The 21,772-nt window shown below is 45.1% G+C and overlaps 2 annotated features.

Moving 5' to 3' along the window:
* Positions 8,450-8,950: an enhancer, noted in NCBI's record as "H3K4me1 hESC enhancer chr15:84821487-84821987 (GRCh37/hg19 assembly coordinates)". NCBI's record gives its function as "activates a minimal SCP1, AML or CMV promoter by ChIP-STARR-seq in naive H9 embryonic stem cells {active_cell/tissue: H9 hESC(naive)}" and the evidence as "EXISTENCE:reporter gene assay evidence [ECO:0000049][PMID:30033119]".
* Positions 11,224-11,830: an enhancer, noted in NCBI's record as "H3K27ac-H3K4me1 hESC enhancer chr15:84824261-84824867 (GRCh37/hg19 assembly coordinates)". NCBI's record gives its function as "activates a minimal SCP1, AML or CMV promoter by ChIP-STARR-seq in primed H9 embryonic stem cells {active_cell/tissue: H9 hESC(primed)}" and the evidence as "EXISTENCE:reporter gene assay evidence [ECO:0000049][PMID:30033119]".

A 21,772-nucleotide genomic window follows, 5' to 3' on the forward strand; every position in this document is an offset into this window, starting at 1 on the left:
CTGGGATTACAGGCACCCACCACCACGCCCAGCTAATTTTTGTATTTTTAGTAGAGACAGGGTTTCACTATGTTGGCCAGGCTGGGCTCCCAAAGTGTTGGGATTACAGGCGCGAACCACCGCTCCTGGCCGATGCCACAATTATTAATGCACTTGGAAGATATATCAAATTAGATTTAACCAACGTTTATTTAGTACCAACTGCATGTCAGATGTTCCCTGAGTCAGTTTTGTTTGTTTTCTTAAGCCTTGAAACAAACTTTGGTGGTAAATTTCTCTTCATTTTGCATATTAAAAAACTGAAAGGGTTTTGACTTGCTCAACAAATTACACTATCCCAGCCATTGCTATATTTTGCTATATTAGCTATAAGTTTATTTTCTGTGTAGTTGTAGAGCTGAGATTATTTGAAATACTGTTACTGATTCTCCTCACTTACTATGATTATTAAAAATGAAAATATGCTCTAATGATTTTTGACACTGTGCATATAGAACCCTTGAGTTTCATAGGTTCTGTAGGCCCTTTCTCCTATAAATAAAGAATGTGAGACTCACAGAGAGGCTGGGTCTCCTCCAAGCTTGGGCAGCTGATAGTTTGAGAGTTGATAGAACCCAGGTCTTTCCCTTTGTAAGGGGCAAAACCACTGGAAAGGACAGGCAGAGAAATAGCTGGGCTCCTCAAAAGGAAGAGAGAAGCTGACAGTGAGGATTTGTCAGTTCTGCTCAGTTTGGAAAGAGACGCTTCACTGTCTGCTTCTTCTGATCTTCCTGTGCTTCAGTTCTCAGCACTCGTGAATATACCACGATTTTCATGCCTCTGTGTCTCGGTACACGCTGTCTCTTCTCCTCAAGTGTTCTTTCTCCCTTCGTTGCCAGCTCAAATGTCACCTCTTGGAAGCCTTCCCCAACTGCGTCAGACAGATACATCTGGCTCTTTCCTTCCTTTGAGTTCCTATACTTCTTTTAATAGATCTCTCTTAGAACATTGATTCCTTTACATTGTTTGTGTTTTCAGTTAGTGTCTCGGAGCTCCTGGGGCAAGGGTCCTCATTCTTCAGGCATATCTCTGACATTGAGCCTGGGTGCACTTTACTAGGATGCATGTTCAAGTGTGGGTGGGAATGAATAAATGAATGACTGTGTGCTCCCCTCCCAGGTGCTGTTTCTGAGCACAGAAATGGAATAGAAGTTTGAGCAGGAGGAAAATGGAGTCTGTGGAAGTTCTAGGAGATATTCTTACAGTTACTCATTAGTTTTTTGGCATTTAGCTTCTCGGTTACATATGGGAAAATTGAGGGACAGCAAATCACAAAGAGAGACTGGAGGTCCAGCTTATTAGGAAACTTGAGTTTCTAGGATGTGGCCACCAGCTTGTGTACATCTTCGTTGATTCTAATGTTCACTGTGTTCCCCAAGAATTAATTTCTTCCAAGGGCCTACATCAGTTTAGAGGTGTAGAACTTGGAGTAGGCAACGAGGTTGGGTGTGTGTTTTTCATTAGTAGATATATTAATCTGCCCAGACATGAGATACACTAGCACTGTTCACAGCCTGAAAACACAGCTCTAAGAGTTTGTGGGTAACAGAACATTAGTCTTACTTAGGTCTTTCTAAATATCTTCACTCCTTAGAGTAACTTTGAGTGTTTTCTGGATTTGAGTTTGGCTCATTAAAGTCTGATTTCTACATAATTCAGATACATCCAGAGTTTTTTGTATAATACATTTGAAAATTTTCCCCTTATGAGATTAGACAAATTTATAACTGAAACAAAGTTCGTTAAACCTGTGCTAAAATATAAAATTGTCTTTAAGAAAAGCCCAAACAGGTAGAAAGTGACAGTTTACTGTATAATTATAATGATAATTTGAATGTATTGATATTCAACAATACATGATATAAAAATACAGTATTTCCCAAGGTCACGAATCATTACCAAGTTTAAATTTATTTTAAAATACAGCAGATCCATAGTTTTGTTCTTTGTATTCATCATAGAAATTTTTTGTGTATTCTATTTTGTTTTCTTTGCCTCATTGATTACTAGATTCCGAAAACAGGACTGTGGGAAAGTAGAGAAGCTGAGCATTTGAACCCATTAACTTCATCTCTCTTTTTGAGGAAAGCAAGCTATTTATTTTCGTAACTAGGGAGGCCTCATAACCTGGGTTGCTGAGGACATCCTGGTTTATGCCTGTCATCTTGGAGAAGTTATTAATAGTGTCGCCTTTCACTGTTCAAAATCCTAGCTTGGATGATGAGTTCTATGTGGTCACCCTTATTATCACTGATATATTCTGTCCTTGATTATTTTATGCTTTGATTTTAATAATTCTGTAAGTGCATTTTTGACTATACTTTTCTGCATTTTTAAATTCTCTGATGTTTTGGAAGGTATATCCTATTTTATTTCTATTAATAGCTGCTTTTTGTGTTTTTCAGATCATTCTTTAAATGTAAGTCAGTACTGAAATGTTCTCCTTTGTGTCCTACCAATTTAAGACTTAGACATTATAAGTTATTTGAGAATGGCGCCGGATTCATTTTTGTGTCTCTGGCAGTATTTAGTAATCTGCTTTGGACAAAGTACTCAAGAAATATTTATGGAATGAATCTTAGGAAGCAGTTTGGTTTTATCAAAATGAAGAGCGAAATTTGGTCCAGTCTAGAATGGTATAGATACCTCCCGATAAAGGAACTGGGATTGTGCTTGGGCTGAAGATCCAATCCGCCCAATGGCACTACTGACCAAACCCAACTGTGGAAAAGATTTCAATGATCTGTTTTAAACTCACCTAGGGACTCCCAAGTGAGTTTTCAGTAAAGTCTTCTTCAATTAAAGTTCTTTCTCTAAGATTACACTACTGCTAAGTATAAAGACAAAGGAATTTTCCAGTGCCAAGCAAAGACAGACAGAGAGTAGCCTGGTTCAGCCACTGTGGCTGCCCACCATGTTAGTGACAGCACTGTTTTCCAGAATGAGGAGAGTGAAGGCGGCGAGTTGGGTGGGAGAGCCCAAATGCAACAATAGTTTGCACGGCATGTAAAGAGTTCTTGAAAGAGGTTGAAGATTTTTGTAAGCACATTCAATTGATTGAGCCATGTGTATTTCCAAATAATAGATTTGTCCTCTTAATTTAAAGGAGACATATAATAGAAAGCTAGGTGTAGTCCCTAACAGTCAATCACTTACGAGCCAGAGGAGGGAAGAATGACCTTTTTCAGAATTTAAGTTGCAAAATACACCTTGTCCTCTGATAGGCAGTTTACAGTGCCTGACAAAATGAGTCATCTTTTTGTTTTGCCAAATTTTATTCTAGCTAAGTGCCTCCAAGCTTAGGCAAAATAAAGACAAGTTAACTGTTCTTAAATGTAATAATGCCATGGACTCTCATGAATAGAAGCCTTTGATAACTAGAAAATAGTTATCTTTGACTTTGTGTTCAAAGTATAGGGGTTGCTTATCTATAAAGCTGGAAGGGGATATAATTGGTTATAGATAAGGAAGGATGTGCATGAATTGAGTTCAGGTACTTTCTAAGTCCTAAGTTACTGCATAGCTGCTTAATACAGTGTCTAATACCTGATGGTGGTGCTCAGTATGTATTAATGGAATCCAAATTTCTTTCTCCACCAAGATCTCTGTCAAGTATATTTGATCATTAACTGTTCCATTTTCAGGATCCAGTAGTCACAAACTGTAGCATAATCCTAGGGTGTTTTATCTTACATTTTAAAAAAGTACGTAATTTGATTTTTTGTGTTTTAAAAGCAATACCCATTCTTTGTTAACAAATTTAGCTGGTAGATTTTTATTTTGGTTTCACTCATTTGAATTTCAAAAGTTATACATGCTTATTGTGAAAATCCAGACAATAAAGAAGTATCCAAATAACAGTCTCCTCATCTTTGCCACCACTTCTCTGATACAACCATTGATCACAAATCACCTTATAGCCTTCCATAGTTTTTCCTATAGTGCTCCCCTCACACACGTGCTTTTGTACTTTTTTTTCCTACCTCTCTTTCTTCTTTTTTTTTTTTTTAATAAAAGTGGTATTGAATGTATTATCAGTTTGGTGCAGTTCAACAGATATGTATTGAGCTCTTGCTTACGTGGTGTCAAGAGCCACTGTACTATGAGTGTGTATAATCTCTGTCCCTGGGCAATTTCTCACATTCTCTTTTGTTGTATTTCAAATTCATTACTGTTGCTATTCTCTTTATAAGTTCACAAGGGCTTTCCACCTCATGGTGTTGTGAAACCCAAATAATGTAATGTTTATTAAAGCACTTAGTTAAGCATAAAGCAGTGAGCTATGACTGCATGATTACTAAGAATTGGTTATCCATGAATAATTCTAATTTTTGTCACTGCTAAAGGAAAATATGCTTCCTCTGCTTATATTTTAATTATTTCAGTAGGTTCCATATGTTTTCAAAACACCTGATTTTACTTACTGTATTTTTACTTTTTTTTTTTTTTTTGAGATGAAATTTCACTCTTGTCGCCCAGGCTGGAGTGCAGTGGCACGATCTCGGCTCACTGCAACCTCCACCTCCTGGGTTCAAGCGATTCTCTTGCCTCAGCCTCCCAAGTAGCTGGGATTACAGTCACCCTCCACCACGCCGGGCTAATTTTTGTATTTTTAGTAGAGACGGGGTTTTGCAATGTTTGCCAGGCTTGTCTCGAACTCCTGACCTCAAATGATCTGCCCACCTCAGCTTCCCAAAGTGCTGGGACTACAGGCATGAGCCACCACGCCTGGCCTGTAATTTTACTTTTACATACAGTATGCCCAGCTTCTTTGTCTCAGCAGATGTTTTTTAAAAATTCCTACTAGGTATATCTTTAACAATTCTTTTTCTTCCATATTCTTGGCTATATTTGATAGACGAGAGTGATATTATAAGTTTTATTCTGTTAACGTGTTTTAAAGTCTAAGATTTCTTCTAGCTTGTATTCCATGTTCATTGCTGTTATTTTATCACTAACTAATTAGTTACAGCCAGAGATTTTAACTCAGTCGCAAATATAAAGCTCTTCTTTGTCAGAAAGACCACACACACCTCTTGAAAAGTTACTTTCAGATTTGATCACATAATTTCCAAGTGTCTTCCAAGAAAGTGAGCATGATGGCCCTGAGTGAAAAACTGTGGCACTTGACCAAAACCTCAGTTTGTTTCTAATCATGTATGGATGGAGTGTAATTTGATTAAAGCTGACTGGCCTGAAATGATCCCAGTAAGATGCTGAACTGGATCTGGATGAAAGTCTCACTATTTTCTGCCCTCATCCAAGCACTAAGGCATCACTGAAATTAATGAGTTTGGGATTTCATGTCCAAATCCATTTTTAATACTACCACCTTATGTTTCCATAGTACGGTACGCTTTTCAAAATGCTTTTATCTATAGTATTTGATCCGTGCAGTCTGCTTTTAGCTTCTATATTTCAAAGGCCAGTAATGGTTAGGTTGGAAGTAATACCTATCAGAATAGTGACTTTGAAACTTTGAAATCATTTCCAGGTGTTTTGGATAGGCTACATTTGAGTGATGAAACTTTAAACTTTCTTTTTTATAAAAGAAAACTTTACTGCTTGAAGTAACCTTTTTAGAAATTAGTAGCCCCAAAGGTTTCAGGGTGTGTTGTATTGTTCTTTTTTACAGTGAATGGGTGTAACTTACTGCAATGTGAATAATGCATAATATTTGTAAGGAAAAGTAGGGAAGTAGCCAAGGAGAAAAGATGGGACAAAGAAAACTGTGAGTTTTCTTTAAATATCTGAGGCAATGGAAAGGAATTTTAAGCAATTTCTTGACAAAAAAAACTCTCCTTTTTTTGATTACAGTAGGGATGCCAATGAGATGGAAAAAAAATCAAGGAGAAACGGAGAATAAAATAATGCCTGCACAGTATATATATTTTGGGGGCATTGTTGAGGTTGTACTTGTGATCTAATATCCATTTTTAAGTGTTTTGTAGATATTAAAGTTAATTTGCATGCGTACATATATATGTATATATACACATATAATAAATCCAGATATACATGTATTATATATCTATGAATAATACACATACATAACACATGTATAATAGATACTCCTATTAATCAGTATTATCACTTAGATTACTCAAGACCTGGAATATATATTTGGAACAAAAGTAAAATCCCTTATTATGATTCTACTTGCCAGCTCCTTATTATGGTCAACGTCAGGGCTCTGGGCCAGGCAGGAACTGAAGTAGACAGTTGGCCCTAACCACTGAACCACCTGCCTTGAGCCCCTTCAGGCATGAGAGATGGTGGAGAACCATCATCACCACTCAGGAAGCATGTGTCAGGGGCCCACTCTGTCCTGCGGCTCTACCTGCGTCCTCTCACTTGAACCTCGTAAGAACCTTGTTAAGTTGGGGTTATTTTGAGCCCTATTTTTCAGGTGAGGAAATGGGCACAGAGAGGTTATGACTTTTACACACAGAGTGCTGGGGCAGGGACTCAAACCCAGATCTGTCTCTTCTCTGGAGAGGTGCCCGCATTTGGAGGTGAAAACTACCCCTGTGGCCATATGACAGTCCACTGTGACCGGACACTGAAATGACCAGTCCAGGGGGCTTGTGGGCTGGGGTCTCAGCTTCACCACTGTGCTGCTGGGTGACTTCAGGCAAGGCCCATTCCTCTCTGGACCCTGGTTCCTCATCTGTGTACTGTGTGTGTGCGTTTTTTAAAAATCAGCTTACTTTTAAAATTTGAAATATGAAAGTAAACACAAAGTTAAAATAGCAAATGCTCAGCTTCGTGTACCATCTAATCCTGTTTTATGTATGTGCATGCGTGTGTGTGCGTGTGTGTGTGTGTGTGTGTGTGTGTGTGTGTGTTCTGGGCTACCTCAGAGATCCATTCTGGCTTTGAGTGTGGTATGTCCCATCTTGGGCAGGTCCAAGGGAAGGCATGAGCGATCTGGCTTTGGGACAAGTATGGGGCTGGCCCTAGGGCCCGGATGCTTCTCCCTCCGCTGCCTATCACAGAGGGGAGTTTGTCTTGCAGGAAACAGCCTCATCCATCAGTGGCAATGGGGGGCTGACAGTGGCCACTCCCCCGCCAGTCCTGGCTGGAGGCAGACTCATAAATCCCACACCAGGCCGGGCTTTAAATTCCTTTGATTCACATCCGGCCTCTTGGAGGACAGAGACATTTGGGGCTGTGGGGCTGGCTGTTCTCTCCTGGGCAGGACAGGTGGGTATTGGGAAGAAGCCTCTTCATGGGCCCAGCAGTCTCAGATGGCCTCTCCGAGGATATGCAGTGCTGAGCCCCCAGGATGCCTCAGGCTCAGCCTGAGCCACCTCTGCCCAGGCCCAGGCCACCTCTGCCTAGGCCATTCCTGTGCCCTGGCCTGAATCACCCTGGAGGTCACCTATGTGGACACACTCTGTGGCCTCAGAGATCTCGTGGGGCCTGTGGCCCAGAGGGTTGGCTCCATGAACTTCACAGCATGGTCACCTGCCAATCCCCATGGCATTCTGTCTTGGGGCTGTGAGGACACGGTGGGAGATCAGGGCCCAGTCTGTGCATCTCTCATTCCAGGGAGGCCGGGGCCCCGAATCCACTGTCCCTTAGGCAGGAAGGGGACAGGGACACTCAGTCCAGGGAGGCAGCCATTTGTCACCTTTCATCAGGACTTTTGCCACACTCAGATGCCACTGGAATTCTTCTTTACTTAGTGTTTTTTAAAAATCAGCTTACCTTTAAAATTTAAGTGTGTGATTTACCCTCTTCTTTAGCCATATTTGAGAAATCAGGGTCTGATATACTAGTCAAATACCCGCACACATATACATATACACATACACATGTGCACATACATGCTCACCCAGACATATACATATACACATATATGTGAAAATATACACATGAAATATATCCATGAAAGTAAACACAAAGTTAAAATAGCAAATGCTCAGCTCCGTATACCATCTAATCCTGTTTTAGGTTTAGAGTGGCTCTAGTCTTCCCCCCATTATGGGTGATTCCTTACTGGTGATACAAAACAGGTTCAGATGGTTCACAGAGCTGAGCATTTACTAGCCATTCTAGCCTTCCCCCATTTTACAGATAAGGAAACCAAGGTCCAGAGAGGTACAGGGCCTGCCCGAAGTCACACAGCGCTGGGATTAGTGGCCAGCCCACCTGACTCCCAGCTGAGTGCTCCTTTTACAGAAGCACACTCCCTGTCTGCGGTGTGCAGGGCCCCTTCCTCCAGAAGCACAAGTGGACTCTCAGAGGCCTTTTGGAGACTGTGCCCTAACACAGAGGGTTCATTGGAAGGTGGGCTTCCTGGTGGCAGGCTGACGGGCAGGCGGACGGTCTCCTGGGTCCTGGTGGGACCAGGCACTGGCCCCTGGCTCTGTCTGTGCTTTATCTTCATGCTCATGGCTCCTGCAGCGCCTCAGCATTTGGGGAAGTGGGGAAAGGAGGGTCCCAGGGGAGAGAGAGAGCAGGGCTGTGGCAGCAGCCCTTCCCCAGGGAGCTGCTTACTGAAGAGATCATTAGTGGTACCAGCTCTCAGGCTGGCAAGGAAGGTGGCCTCATTAGCAAGCACCTTCCCCTGCGCCACCTCCACCTGCCCACCTGCAGCCTCCTGACACCCATACTGCCACTGCCACCACTGCCATCACTCCAGAGATGCGGCATGATGGGCCTCCTGTTGGGGACAAGGCTGCTAGCTCAAGGGAGCCAGGAAGGAGATGTGTGTGTAGGGTGGCAAGGGTGCGTGTACACTGCACACACACACAGAGACACACAGACATGCTCACATGCATGGACACACATATTGCATTAATAGAGGTGTGCACATAAGTCTAGCGCACACACACACAACACAGACTTGCACAGTAACGCGCAACTCCCCAAACACACAGTGCAAGCACACGGATCCAACAGAGACGTGTACACACAGGGGTGGTTTTCGGTGTGAAGCCCCACAGTGCACACGTATAGAGACCCATATGGAACACAGGTGCACATGCACCCTAGGAGATGCACGTGTGTATTCACACATACAGTCCTGTCTCCAGACTCCGGAGTGTGCATGGAATTGTACACACATGAGTACGTGTCAACAAACATGCAGACCAGCCCGGGGCATACCACTGTGTGTGCAGGGATGCCCACGTGCACACGTACATGCGTGCAGAGCACACACCAGTTATTTTTTTCTTGGAATCTAACAAGGCCCAAGGAGCAGGGAGTGGCTAATTCCCTGGAGGAAGTGAGGAGACCGGAGCTGAGGACACATTTAATTAATTCTTCTCATTCCCAGCCGAGGGAGAAAGGGAGAGGAGGAGGGAGAGAGGAATGAAATGACAGAGAGGAGAGGAGAGGGGAGAGGGGCAGCAGGAGGGTGAAGGTGAAGTGGGGAGGAACCGATGTGGGCAGTGAGGAGGCTGAGGGACCCCGGGCCCAGAGGCATTAACCTTTTCAGCTTACGGCAGGCCCAGGGACCTCATCACTCAGCCCCGATCCCAGAACCAGACGGATCGTTCAAGGTCAAGTGGTGGGGCTGGTGCAGAAGTCCACCCGCAGTGCCCCCTACACACAGCTCTGGGGATGGGGCACACACGTCTTTCACCTGCTCCCACCGAGTGGAAACCTGCCCCCCAACCCCGAACCTCCCACGCTCAGTCCCACTTCTGCTCTGTGCCTGCATTGGCTTAGGGCCCTGGGGGCTCTCCTATCACAAGTGCAGGGCAGGGGCAACACAGCTGCCCAGGGAGGCCCCTGCTGGGCACCAGGACAGCTCCTCCCACCCCTGCCCTGACCTCAGCCTTGAGACAGAGTCAGGGAGATGGAGGTGGACAAGGACAGGGGTTCTGAGAGGGAGGGAGGATGTGAGCCAGGAGAGAGGGGAGGTGGGGCCGGGTGGGAGTGAAACAGGGAGATGGGGGGCAGTGAGAGAGAGGGGGAGACACTAAGCCAGAGATGGTGAAGGATGTGAGAGGGGCCAGGATGGTGAGAGTCAGACCCAGAGACACACAGAGAGGACGCTAGAAAGAACAAGAGAAACAAAAAAAGGTCAGAGGGTCAGGAAAGGCAGCCAGGCTCTGTAACTCTCCCTGGTCAGGAGGGAGGCAACTCGCCTGGGGTGTGAGCGAGGAACCCTGGCCTAGAGAGGATGCTGTGTGACCCCGCCCAGGCACCCCACCTCTCTGAGCCTCGGCTGCTGGTTTATAAAGCAGGGGGACCGGCCCTGTCTCTGAGAGGGCCCTTAGGCTCCGCAGGGAGGCTGGCCTGGTCCCTTTCTTCCTTCTACTCCCCTGAGTCATGTGGGCCTGCAGATGGGGGTGGGGGTCTCCCTTCTGGGGCCCTGAGTGGGCAAACCAGGTGAAAGAGGAAAGTTGCTGTGGGGCTGGTGTCGTGTGCTGCAGCCGTGAGCATGGAGTGATGGAGCGTTTGCCCTGAATATTGAAAATACATAAATATCCATTGTCAGGCACCAAGGCAGATATAAATACAGAAGGGAGGGTGTGCAGCCCTCAGCCGTAATTTACCGGCTCTGCTACCTGCGGGGGCTTGGGCACTTGCACTTGGCCGTCAAGAGGCTTTTCCAGATGGCTTCATGACCGCCAGTGGCCACCTGGATCCCTTCTCCTGGAGAAGTGGCTCCTTGGGATCCACCGCCTGGGGTGAGGTGGGGCAAGGCAGGGTGTGTCATTCCTAGGTCTGCTCCGTCCTAGGCCTTTGGGGCCTCTCCCGCCTTCTCCTCCTCCAGCATCTCCTTGCTTGGGAGGGATGGAACCACATCTGTGTCAGGCCTGGTGTGTACCCAGCCCTGGTGCACTTGGATAAAATCAGAGGCATTCCATTCCTGCCCATGGGCACTTCCAGGCTGCGAAGCAGAGATGACACCCTAGGTCCTGCCCTTAAGAACTCACCCAAGGGAAACAGATGGTAGAAGGGTCTGGATAAGCCAGCATGGGGCAAGACCCGGGTCCACTCTGGAGCAGGCCAGAAGCCAGAGAGGAGAGGCACATGGCCAATGGTGGCCTCCAAGAGTCTGGCCGCAGCCCAGCACACCCAAAGCCCTCAGCCTGGAGGGAAAGCAGCAGGACCTGGGGTGGAGGTCACGGCCCGCTGGCAGGCAGCTCTCTCTCTGACATCCTCCTGAGAGGACATGGGTCTTGCCCTATGCTGGCTTATCCAGAACCTTCCACCGTCTAAGGAATGTGCTCATTCTCGATGAGTAGACAAATGGAGGCCCCAAGGCAATTCCCTGCCTTTCCTCCCAGAGCTGGAGCTGGGACTTGAGCACCCTGATCCCTGCCACCTTCACATGCTGAGGGGCATCTTTCTCTTTGGGTTGGGACTCTGTGTTCAGGGCACTCACCTTCCCACAGCAGAAAGCCACCAGCCTCTATTGGGGGGTGTGGAGCGTTCTCCCTTCCAGGGTGCCCAAGCCTCCTTTTCCCAGGAAATGGAGGCTGGGCTTCCCTGCCCTGAGCAGGAGGCTGCACTGGGAGGCAGGGGCTGGACAGCCACCTGCTGCCTGGGCCGAGGGTGGAACCTGTTTGTGTGGGATGCAGGCATTGAATCATGAACACGCCAGGTTGAGTGGCCCAGGGCCCTGCACAGAGCAGGGGCTGGGATCAGGTGGCATTGGTGGGGAGGGGCCGGGGCGGTGCTCCGTGAAGGGAGGGCTGAGGCTGAGGTGGGGGTAGCAGAACCGCGCCTCCTATTCCTTGCCTGCCTCTCTCATGTTTCCCTCCCCCATTGTCAACAGGGGCTCTCTGAGGCAGAGTCCTCACAGTGAGTGATGCCTGCCCGGGCCCTGCCCTCCAGGCCTGTTCTGCCAGAAACACCCACAGGTCAGGGCATCCAGGTGCCTGGATGGACAGCCACAGGCCAACTGCCTGGTCAGCCGCAGCCTTCGCCGGCTGCTCTCCTGTGGCTGCAGAAAGTGAGAGGTGCTGCAGCCGCCAGCCCCCGCTCCCCCGCTGCTAGGCTCTCCTGTCTGTCCTAGTCCTCGCGTCAGGTGCAAGGGCGCAGGCCACAGTGGAGTCTCTGGGTCTTCCCCGGGTGACTTTGCTGTTGGCTCTGGGCCCCACACTGGCCCTTCTGTGCCATCTGGGTGGCAGGATAGACGTCTGCGGGGCACATTCTCCACACCCCCTTGCATGCTGCTCCTGGTTCAGTTCTTCCAAGAGGAGGTGCTGGCAGGCTCCAGCACCTGCAAGACACGTGCCTCTCAGCGGTTCCAGCATCAGCTCAGTGGCAGTTCCAGGAGCACAGCAGTGAGTGCAGGCTGTGGGCTCCAGCTCAGGGCATCTCTGGATCTGCCTCCTCCTCCCAGCCCTTCCCCCATCACCTCAGCAGCCTGGCCGTCCTGGAACTCCCAGGATGCTCCTCAAAATGGCTCTAAAGCCCTTATTCCTCACTTCTTCCTGGAGGGGGCCCCACCTTGGCTCTGGGTGGCAGGAAAAGCTCTTTTCCCCTCTGCGGGAATGATCCCACTTTGCCAGTTAAATGGAATGGTCTTCCCCGAATCTGTTCTCTGGGTCATGTGTGCGCAGCCAGGCCTCCAGTGGCAGTGGTAACAGGGGCCTCTCCCCACTGGCTGCTCCCCAGGGTCTCCTCTGCTCTCTCCTCCCTTCTCATGGGCTTCTTCATCTTCCTTGGGGTTCTGTTCCCCCATAGCTCAGGGTCCCCCAAGTTATTAGGGTGACAGTCTGGCCTGAGTTGTTTATGATCAGGCCAGAGGTTCTGCATGTCCTAGGCTTGGCCTCTGGGGTCAGATACTCATTGCCTTCTGCAGGGCAACCAGGAGCCATGGGGACCTGGGGGTGAGGCAGTCTTCCTTAGTTCAGGGTGGGAAGCAGGCAGGGGCCTCAACCACAGGCAAACTAGCAACTGAGATGGCATCAGCAGCCCTGCTCACAGTCGACCCTTGCCTCGGCTCCACCTACCCCGCCCAGGCTGCACCAATGCCTGCTGTATGCCCAGCACCAGGCTGGGCTTATGGGGGAACCAGACGAACAGGACTGAGACCCTGTTCTGGAGGAGCTGAGGGTCTCATAGGGGAGACATAGACTCCTCAGATGCCCGAATACCAGGCTCTAAGGAGCATGAGGTGCGCAGGGAAGGGAGAACTCAGCTCTGGCTGAGGAGTTGGGGATGCTTCATGTAGCGGGGGATATTTGACTTGCGCCACAAGGTGAGATTTTAATGTGTGGTTGGTTCCAGGGTTGCTGGAAACATCCCAGAGAGAATAGAACCACCGGAACAAAGGCCCGGCTCGGTAGCAGGGTGGGAAGAGCTGACTACTAACCACCAGCCTAACTTGTTTAGTGAGAATGCTCAGAGCAGTGGGGATTAACCAAAAAGTGGGTGGTCGGGTTTTGAGCCCCTGGTGCCCTGACCTGCTTCTCCTCCTCCTGCTTGCCCAGGTCCTCTGGGGCTCCTCTCCCGTGGTCGCCATGGGAACTCCAGGTGGCTGAAGTTTGCTTGAGCCTAGCTCCCTGAGATGGGCTGTGGGTCAGGGGAGGTGGAGGGAACTGGTCCCCAGCCTGGGCTCTGAGCACCCCTCCCCTGGGTCCCAGAGTCTCCATCTGAGCTCTGCCCATTTAGCCCTCACCCGGTCTCTTCCTCGCCTCCTCCCTCCCCTACACTCCACACAGCCTTCCAGTCACCAAGTTCTGACTGTTCCTTCCACTTGTAAAATCTCCCTGGGAGGCATCCACTCTGCACCCACCTCCCTGCCTCAGGCCTGGCTCCACCCCTTCCCTGTCCCCTGGATGACAGCAGGGGCCTCCTAGGGGGTCTGGCTCCTTCAGTCTGCTCCTCCTGGGTGCTGCTGCTGTCCTCCTGACCAGCGTCTGACAGTCTGGCAGCTCCTCTGCCCCTCCCTACCCCAGCCTGGGCTCCCACCACCCTGGGATGGCTGAGTCTGTGAAATGGGTGGAGTGGTGTGTTGAGCTCCACTTCTAGAACCGCATTCTATGGGGCAGTAGCGTCTTTCTGGAATTAACAGGTATGCCTTGAAAATGGGTTCCATGTGGAATTGGTTTGGGAAGCACTGCACAGCCTCTGCCTCCCGGATACTCACAAGGCACTGTAACAGGTGAAAGGCTCCCAGAGGTTCTGGAGTAAAGAAGTCTGTTTTGATTTATTTAACTCCGAGGTTCCCAGAGTGTTTTGGCTCTAAATAAGGAATGTCTATGAATAACTCCAGGAACAAGTTTCTCTGGACCACCCTTTGGAAAATGCTGGAGGAGCCATAAAGTGTGGTGCCTTGTCTTTGGGGATCTGGGGTCCTGAGGCCTGCTTCCCCCGTCTGGCATGCCGGGGTTCCCACAGGTGCACAGGCTGATACGGGGCTGAGGAAGCACTGGAAAATTGGGCCGCACCATGGATGCCTTGCTTCCATCTCCTGGCGCACAGTATGGTTCCTGGATGTGTTTTGTTTAAACCACACGTTCTTTTGAAATTTGACCTGGTTGTCAACATTTAAAACCTGGGAGATTCCACCACAAATTCTGCATTTTAAAGTTCTCTTAAAACACGAGGAGCCAGCCAGGTGTGGTGGCTCACGCCTGTAATCCCAGCACTTTGGGAGGCCAAGGCGGGCGGATCACGAGGTCAGGAGATGAGACCATGCTGGCTAACACGGTGAAACCCCATCTCTACTAAGAATACAAGAAAGTAGACGGGCATGGCGGCGGGCGCCTGTAGTCCCAGCTACTTGGGAGGCTGAGGCAGGAGAATGGCATGAACCCCGGAGGCAGAGCTTGCAGTGAGCTGAGATCGCACCACTGCACTCCAGCCTGGGCAACAGTGCAAGAATCGTCCCAAAAAAACAAAAAACAAAAAAACCACGAGGAGCCCTATCCACACAGTGCGCATCTCTCCCTCTGTGGAGCCGAAGAACGGCAGGACCCATTTACATGCAAAGCACCCAGCCTGCAAGCAGACAGTTTCCCTCCCCAGCGCGGGCTGAGCCCCCGAAAACATTGGAGTTTCACAAATTCCTCTTTATGATGGTGACTTATGCCTGACCCACCCTCCTCTTGGGGGGTCCTTCTTTGAGGGGCTGAGGCAGGTGGGCCTGCTGGCTCCAGCATGTTCCTTACCTCCCATGAAGTACCATGTACATGGTGCAGTCTAGGCTATGAAGTCCACTGGGCTACCCCACCATTACCCTCGGTTCCCATGACGGGGGTGCCAGAGTGGCCCAGGGGCAGCAGGGCTGTGGGAGACAGAGGGAGAGCCTGCCACAGCCTCCTCTCCTGTGACCACCTGGCGGCTCAGCTGACAGGATAGTCACAGCTGCTCAGGTCACCCTGGTCACCGGAGCATGCTGGGTGGGAGAACCACTCCCTGCAAGAGCGAAAAGCTGAGAACACTGCCAACCGTGCTGGCACCCCTGAGCCAGCCCGCCGCTGCAGAGAGCCCTCTACAAAGAGCCCGCTCTGTGCTGACGGAGGCTGGAACCTGGGGAAATCTGGCTCAGGGCTGCTTGCTGGGGCCCAGGGTGGGGTGGGGCTCCACCCCTGCCCTGGGATGACTGTGGGTGAAACAGGACCCTGACTTGCAGGCCCCAGTCTGAGGTGGAGGGAGGGGGCCCAGACCAACCTCACCCGAATGTTAGGATAACAGGAATTTCCCGCCAGGATGAGGCTGGCACTGGTTTCGGTTCTGTCCTGGGTGGAGGGGGAGGTCAGTAGTGGACTCTCCAATCAGTGGGGCCTTCACGGGCTCTGGTCGGAAGTTCCCACACACCCCCATCAGGAGGTCTGACTCCGGCCACCTCCTGCCTTGCCTGAGCCTGTCCTGCTCGTGGCCCTCCCCTTCTAAGCCTGTCTGAACACCCCTACCTTGGGGACCCCTCCTGTGTCTTCCTTCTCCAGGAAGCCCCTCTGATCCTCCCCCTCAGAGCTCTAGCCCTCCTCCAAGCTCCATCCCTGCCCTATCCCAGCCTTCCTATACAGCCCCACAAGTCAAAAAATCGTGACTAAAATGAAATATCTCCCTGACAAAAAACTAAAAAAAAAAAAAAAGACACTGAAGTCTCAATTAAGACTAAAAAAAATTAAAAAAAAATAAAGTATCCTTTTTAAAAGTGGCCACTGTAAAGCCTCCAAAACCCATTCCATTAACTTAAAAAACAAAAAAACCTATATAAGTAAATCAGTGGCCACTACCAAAACACAAACTAAAAACTTTACACTTATTAACAAAAAAATTTAAAAAAAAATTGAGCCTTCATTTTCGCCTTAAAATTCTCCTATGTTTATAATTCAAAAAAAAAAAAATCCAACAAATGACACATACTAACCAACTTAAAAGCATTAATGCCGTAATTCAACCCATGGAGAGTCTCCAACCTGAGTTGCCCTCTCAGGCCATAATCCCCCAAAATTGGCCTTTAATTATAATTAATCTAAAAGATTACTTTTTTACCATTCTTCTGACAAAACAAAATTTAAAAAAATTTACTTTTACTATACCAGCCATAAATAATAAAAAACCAGCCACCAGGTTTCAGTAAAAAGTGTTACGTCAAAAAATACTTAATAGTCCAACTATTTGTCAAACTTTTTTGTAACTCAAACTCTTCAACCAGTTAAACACAAGTTTTCAAACTGTTATTCATTATATTAATAATATTTTGTATACTACAAAAACAAAAACAAATTAACTATTACACATTTCTACAAGCAAAGGTTACCAACACAAGACTGACAATAATATCTAATAAAATTCAAACCTCTAATCCTTTCCATTACTTAAAAATGTAAGTTAAAAAAAACCACAAAAAATAAAAATTAAACATTAAAAACATTAAATAACTTTCAAAAATTACTAAAAAATATTAAACTCGGCCAACTCTAGACATCCCTACTTATGCCATGTCAAATTTGTTCTCTATCTTAAAAAAAAATCCAAAATTAAATAATGAACATTAACTCCAAAGACAACTAAAAAAATTAATTAAAAAAAGTTCAGTCAACCCAAATAAATAAAATGAATCACTTAGCCCCACTCCAACTTTTAATTTTTACTACTACACATTCTCCAACAGACATTATTGTTCAAAATACAAATCTTATGAAGTGGTCCTTCCTTCCTTATAGCACAATTAAGACTTACATTGTACTTAAATCAAATGACTACATTAATTAGACAAAACTACAAATAATAAAATTATATAAAAATAACCCAAATAAAATAATTGTTCCTTTAAACAAAAAACAAATTAAACAAGCCTTTATCAATTCTGGAATATAACAAATTGGTCTTACTAATTTTATAAAAAATTATTGACAATCATTACCCAAAAACAAAAATCTTCCAGTTTTTAAAATTGACTACTTAAATTTTACCTAAAATTACCAAACATAAACCTTTAAAAAATACTCTAACGGTGTTTACTAATAGTTCCAACAATAAAAAAACAACTTACACCAGACCAAAAAAACAAGTCATTAAAACTCAATGTCACTTAACTCAAAAAACAAAATTAGCTACTGTCATTACAATATTACAAAATTTTAATCAGCCTATTAACATTGTATCAAATTCTACATATATAATACAAACTACAAAAAAAGTTAAAACAGCCCTAATCAAATATCAAATATAATCAGTTAAACCAACTATTTAATTTGTTACAACAAACGGTAAAAAAAAAAATTTCCCATTTTATATTACTCATATTCAAACACACACTAATTTACCAAGGCCTTTAACTAAAACAAACAAACTAATTTACTAGTATCATCTACATTCATAAAAACACAAAAACTTCATGCCTTAACTCATATAAATACAACAAAACTAAAAAATAAATTTAATATCACATAAAAACAAAAAATATTGTACAACATTACACCCAGTGTCAAATTCTACACCTGCCCACTCAAAAAACAAAAGTTAATCCCAAAAGTCTATGTCCTAATTCGTTATGACAAATAAATATCACACATGTACCTTCATTTGAAAAATTGTCATTTGTCCATACAACAGTTAATACTTATTCACATTTTATATAAACAACCTACCAAACAAAAGTACTTCCCATATTAAAAAACATTTATTATCTTGTTTTACTGTCATAAAAGTTCCAAAAAAATTAAATAATAGGCCAAAATAGTGTAATAAAACATTTCAAAAATTCTTAAATCAACAAAAAATTACACATACAACAAAAATCCCCTATAATTCCCAAATACAAACCATAATTTAAAAAACTAACACTCAAAACTCAATTAAAGAATAAAAAGCATAACACTCCCCCAATACAACTTAATCTAACACTCTAAACTTTTTTAACATATATAAAAATCAGACCACTACTTCTACAAAACAACATTTTACTAATAAAAAAACCCACATAAAAAAACTAATTTAATTTAAAAAACATAAAAAATAAAAACATTAAAAAAAGCTTTACTTGTGTTTCACCAAAAAAAAAAAAATCAACTTCCTGTTTAAATACCCACTAAACATTTCAAATTCTACAATAAACCCATTAAAAATACAAAAACCCACCTCCACAAAAATACAAACACCACAATCAAGCATCATTAACTCACCAAATAAAATAATAACATCAAAAAAAACAAAGTCGCCGTCCACCAAAAAAACAAAGCCACCAACTTAAACACAATTAAAAAAACTAACACAGTTAACTAAAAAAAAACCCAAAAAAACACAAAAGTGACACAAACTCCAAAAAAATACTGTTTATGGCTTTAATAATTATATCAACAATAGTAAGTATCCCCATGTCTACAAAAACAACTACAACTAATTATACTAAGCCTATGTACCTTTCCCACCCTTAATTCAAACAGTCACATAAATAAATAATCCTATTAAAATATATATTAATAATACATGGGTACCAGGCCCCACAAATAATCGTTGCCCTGCCCAACCTAAAAATAATAATAATATAAATATTTCCATTAAATATTATTATCCTATTTGCCTAAAAAAGACACCAAAATATTTAATACCTACAACCCAAAATTAGTAAAAGTACCTACTATCAATACCAATAAATTTACTTGTCACATAGTAAGTAAAATGTCACTCAAACCACAAATAATTTACAAAACTCTTCTTTTCAAAAATCATTAAAATCTAAACCTAAAAAAAAACCTTGCCCCTAAAAAATCAAAAGATCCAAAAGTCTTAGTTTAAAAAAATGTATAACTAATACTACAATAATACTACAAAACAATAAATTCAAAACTATTATAAACTAGGCCCCTCAAAACCAATTATATTGTAATTCTATGGGCCAAACTCACTCGTGTTCGCAGGCCCCATCCATCTGGCCCATTAATCCAGCCTATAATAATAATTTAACTAAAAAACTAAACCAAATTTATAAAAACTTAAAATCACCCTATCCATAAAAATAAAATTAAAAAAAATTTTTTTTTTACTATGCGTAAATGTATGCATAGGCCAGATTTATACTTCTCTCCACCCAAACATCTCAGTGTAGTAAAAAGTAACAGAACAACATTGCCGCCAACATATCTCGCCTCCAGCCACAGGGCGGTTTTCTCCTATCTCAAAATAAAACGAATGTACAATCGGGTTTTACACCGAGACACTCCGTTCCCAGGGGCATACAAGAGATGGAGGCCTTCCTCTTACTAATCCTCCTCAACACAGACCCTTTATGGGTGTCGGACTGGAAGACGGTCAGGTCTTTCCCTTCCCATGAGGCCGTATCTCAGACCGTCTCAGTGGGGAAAAGCCTTGGACAATACCCAGACTTTCTTGGGCAGAGGTCCCTGCGGCTTTCCGCAGTGTATTGTGCCCCTGGTTAATCAAAAATGAAAAATGACAATAATTTTTACCAAAAATACTGCCCGTAAACATATTATTAACAAGACACATTCTACACAGCCCTAGATCCCTTAAACCTTAATTCTATACAACACGTGTTTCTGTAAACACAGGGTTGAAACTAAAGTTACAAATGAACATCTCAAAACAATTATTCAGGGTACAAATCAAAATGAGGTTTCTTATGTCTTCCTTTTCTACATAGACACAGTAACAGTCTGATCTCTCTTTCTTTTCCCTACAGACACCAGGCTTCCCTTCCCCTGGAGCAGCCAGACCTTCTGTGGTATCTTGAGCAAGCGCCTGGTCCTGTCTGGGCCTCTGCAGACTCAAGGTCTGGTGCCTGACTTACACCCTGTTGTCATATCCTGCCATCTGGCCCCATATGGAGTCCTACAGGGGACTCTCAGACCCAGGCGTGAGCACTGGCTCAGGCCCCTCTCAGAGGTCTGGCGGCCCAGCATCTGCCCACGGGCCTCCTCTCCCCCTCCTTTTCTCCAGGCTCCTGCCTCTGCCACAGTTCCCTGGAGGTGGCCTCTAGCCTGGCCCAGGGGCTCACACACTCCTGAAGGAGGCAGGGCCAGACTCAGGCAAGGCCTTGGAGGACACATCCCAGTGGGCAGGGCCCAGCACTCTTGGGGTGGAACTACAGGGAGGAGAGGCAGGGCAATTGAGGCTTGAGGTGCCTGGCCTCACCCAAGGTGACCAGCCTGCTCCTTTTCCTCAGCCTCAGAGGGAGCAGAGGACGGAGGTGGGGAAGAGAGGCCAGGGACACAGTAGGGCTTGGTTATGGATGATGGGGGGTCCTTGTGTGATATAATTAGGCTTTGTGTCTCCACCCAAATCTCATCTTGAATTATCCCCATTTTCCCCACCTGTCAAGGGAGAGACCAGGTGGACGTAATTGGTGGATCATGGGAAGGGTTTCCCCCATGCTGTTCTCATGACAGTGAGTGAGTTCTCATGAGATCTGATGGTTTTATAAGGGGCTTTTCCTACTTGTTCAGCACTTCTCCTTCCTGCCACCTCGTGAAGTTTCCTTGCTTCCCCTTCACCTTCCGCTGTGATTGTAAGTTTCCTGACACCTCCCCAGACATGCTGAACTGTGAGTCAATTAAACCTTTTTCTTTTACAAGCTATCCAGTCTCGTGCAGTTCTTTATAGCAGTATGAAAACAGACTAATACACTGTCCCTGCTGAGGGCTGCCCGGCTGGGCTCTCCCTGCATTGGCACCTGGGTTGCCAGTAGCACATTATTTGGTCTAACAGTTTTTGTTTATCATTCTGAAACTGAGCTTATCTAATACATTGATAAATTATTTCAAAGGTATTTTTATAGTTCAAATCGCTTCACTTTTACCCTGACACGTATAAATGACTAGGAATGACCTTCAGATAGCGTTTAGCAACTGTAACCAATCTGACAATAATGTGTTCATCAGGTACCTGTGGATTAAATCACATACTGGCATATTTAAGATGAATGTCAGTCTGAAAAATAAATATACTATATTAATTCAAATACGACTCTTTGTGTAGGTATTTTGTCATATGTTTAAGAAAAAGCTAAAGAGAATGGAAATCCTATGACAATAACTCAAGTCTTTCTTCAAAGTGCATGCAGTCTTTTGCAGTACCTCATTCAGCCAAGTATTTGTTCTCTACCTCATTCAGTATAAGGCAGCCTTTAATTTGCTTAGAAGGCAACATTAGAAGGTTAGAGTTCAGCAGGAACATAGAATTTTAAAATGTGACTTCAACTGAATAAATTTGAATTTCTGTAGGGAGTAAAGAATCAAAACACCTATTTAAAGACTGCAAAATATGATAATTATTTTTAAAGTAATTGATTAAACCTGGTAGGTTTTCCCAAAATGAAAAACAATCAGTTCTAAAACCAAAG

The sequence above is a fragment of the Homo sapiens genome, chromosome 15 (assembly GCF_000001405.40).
Source record: "Homo sapiens chromosome 15, GRCh38.p14 Primary Assembly".
In the NCBI taxonomy this organism is placed as follows: Eukaryota; Metazoa; Chordata; class Mammalia; order Primates; family Hominidae; genus Homo; species Homo sapiens.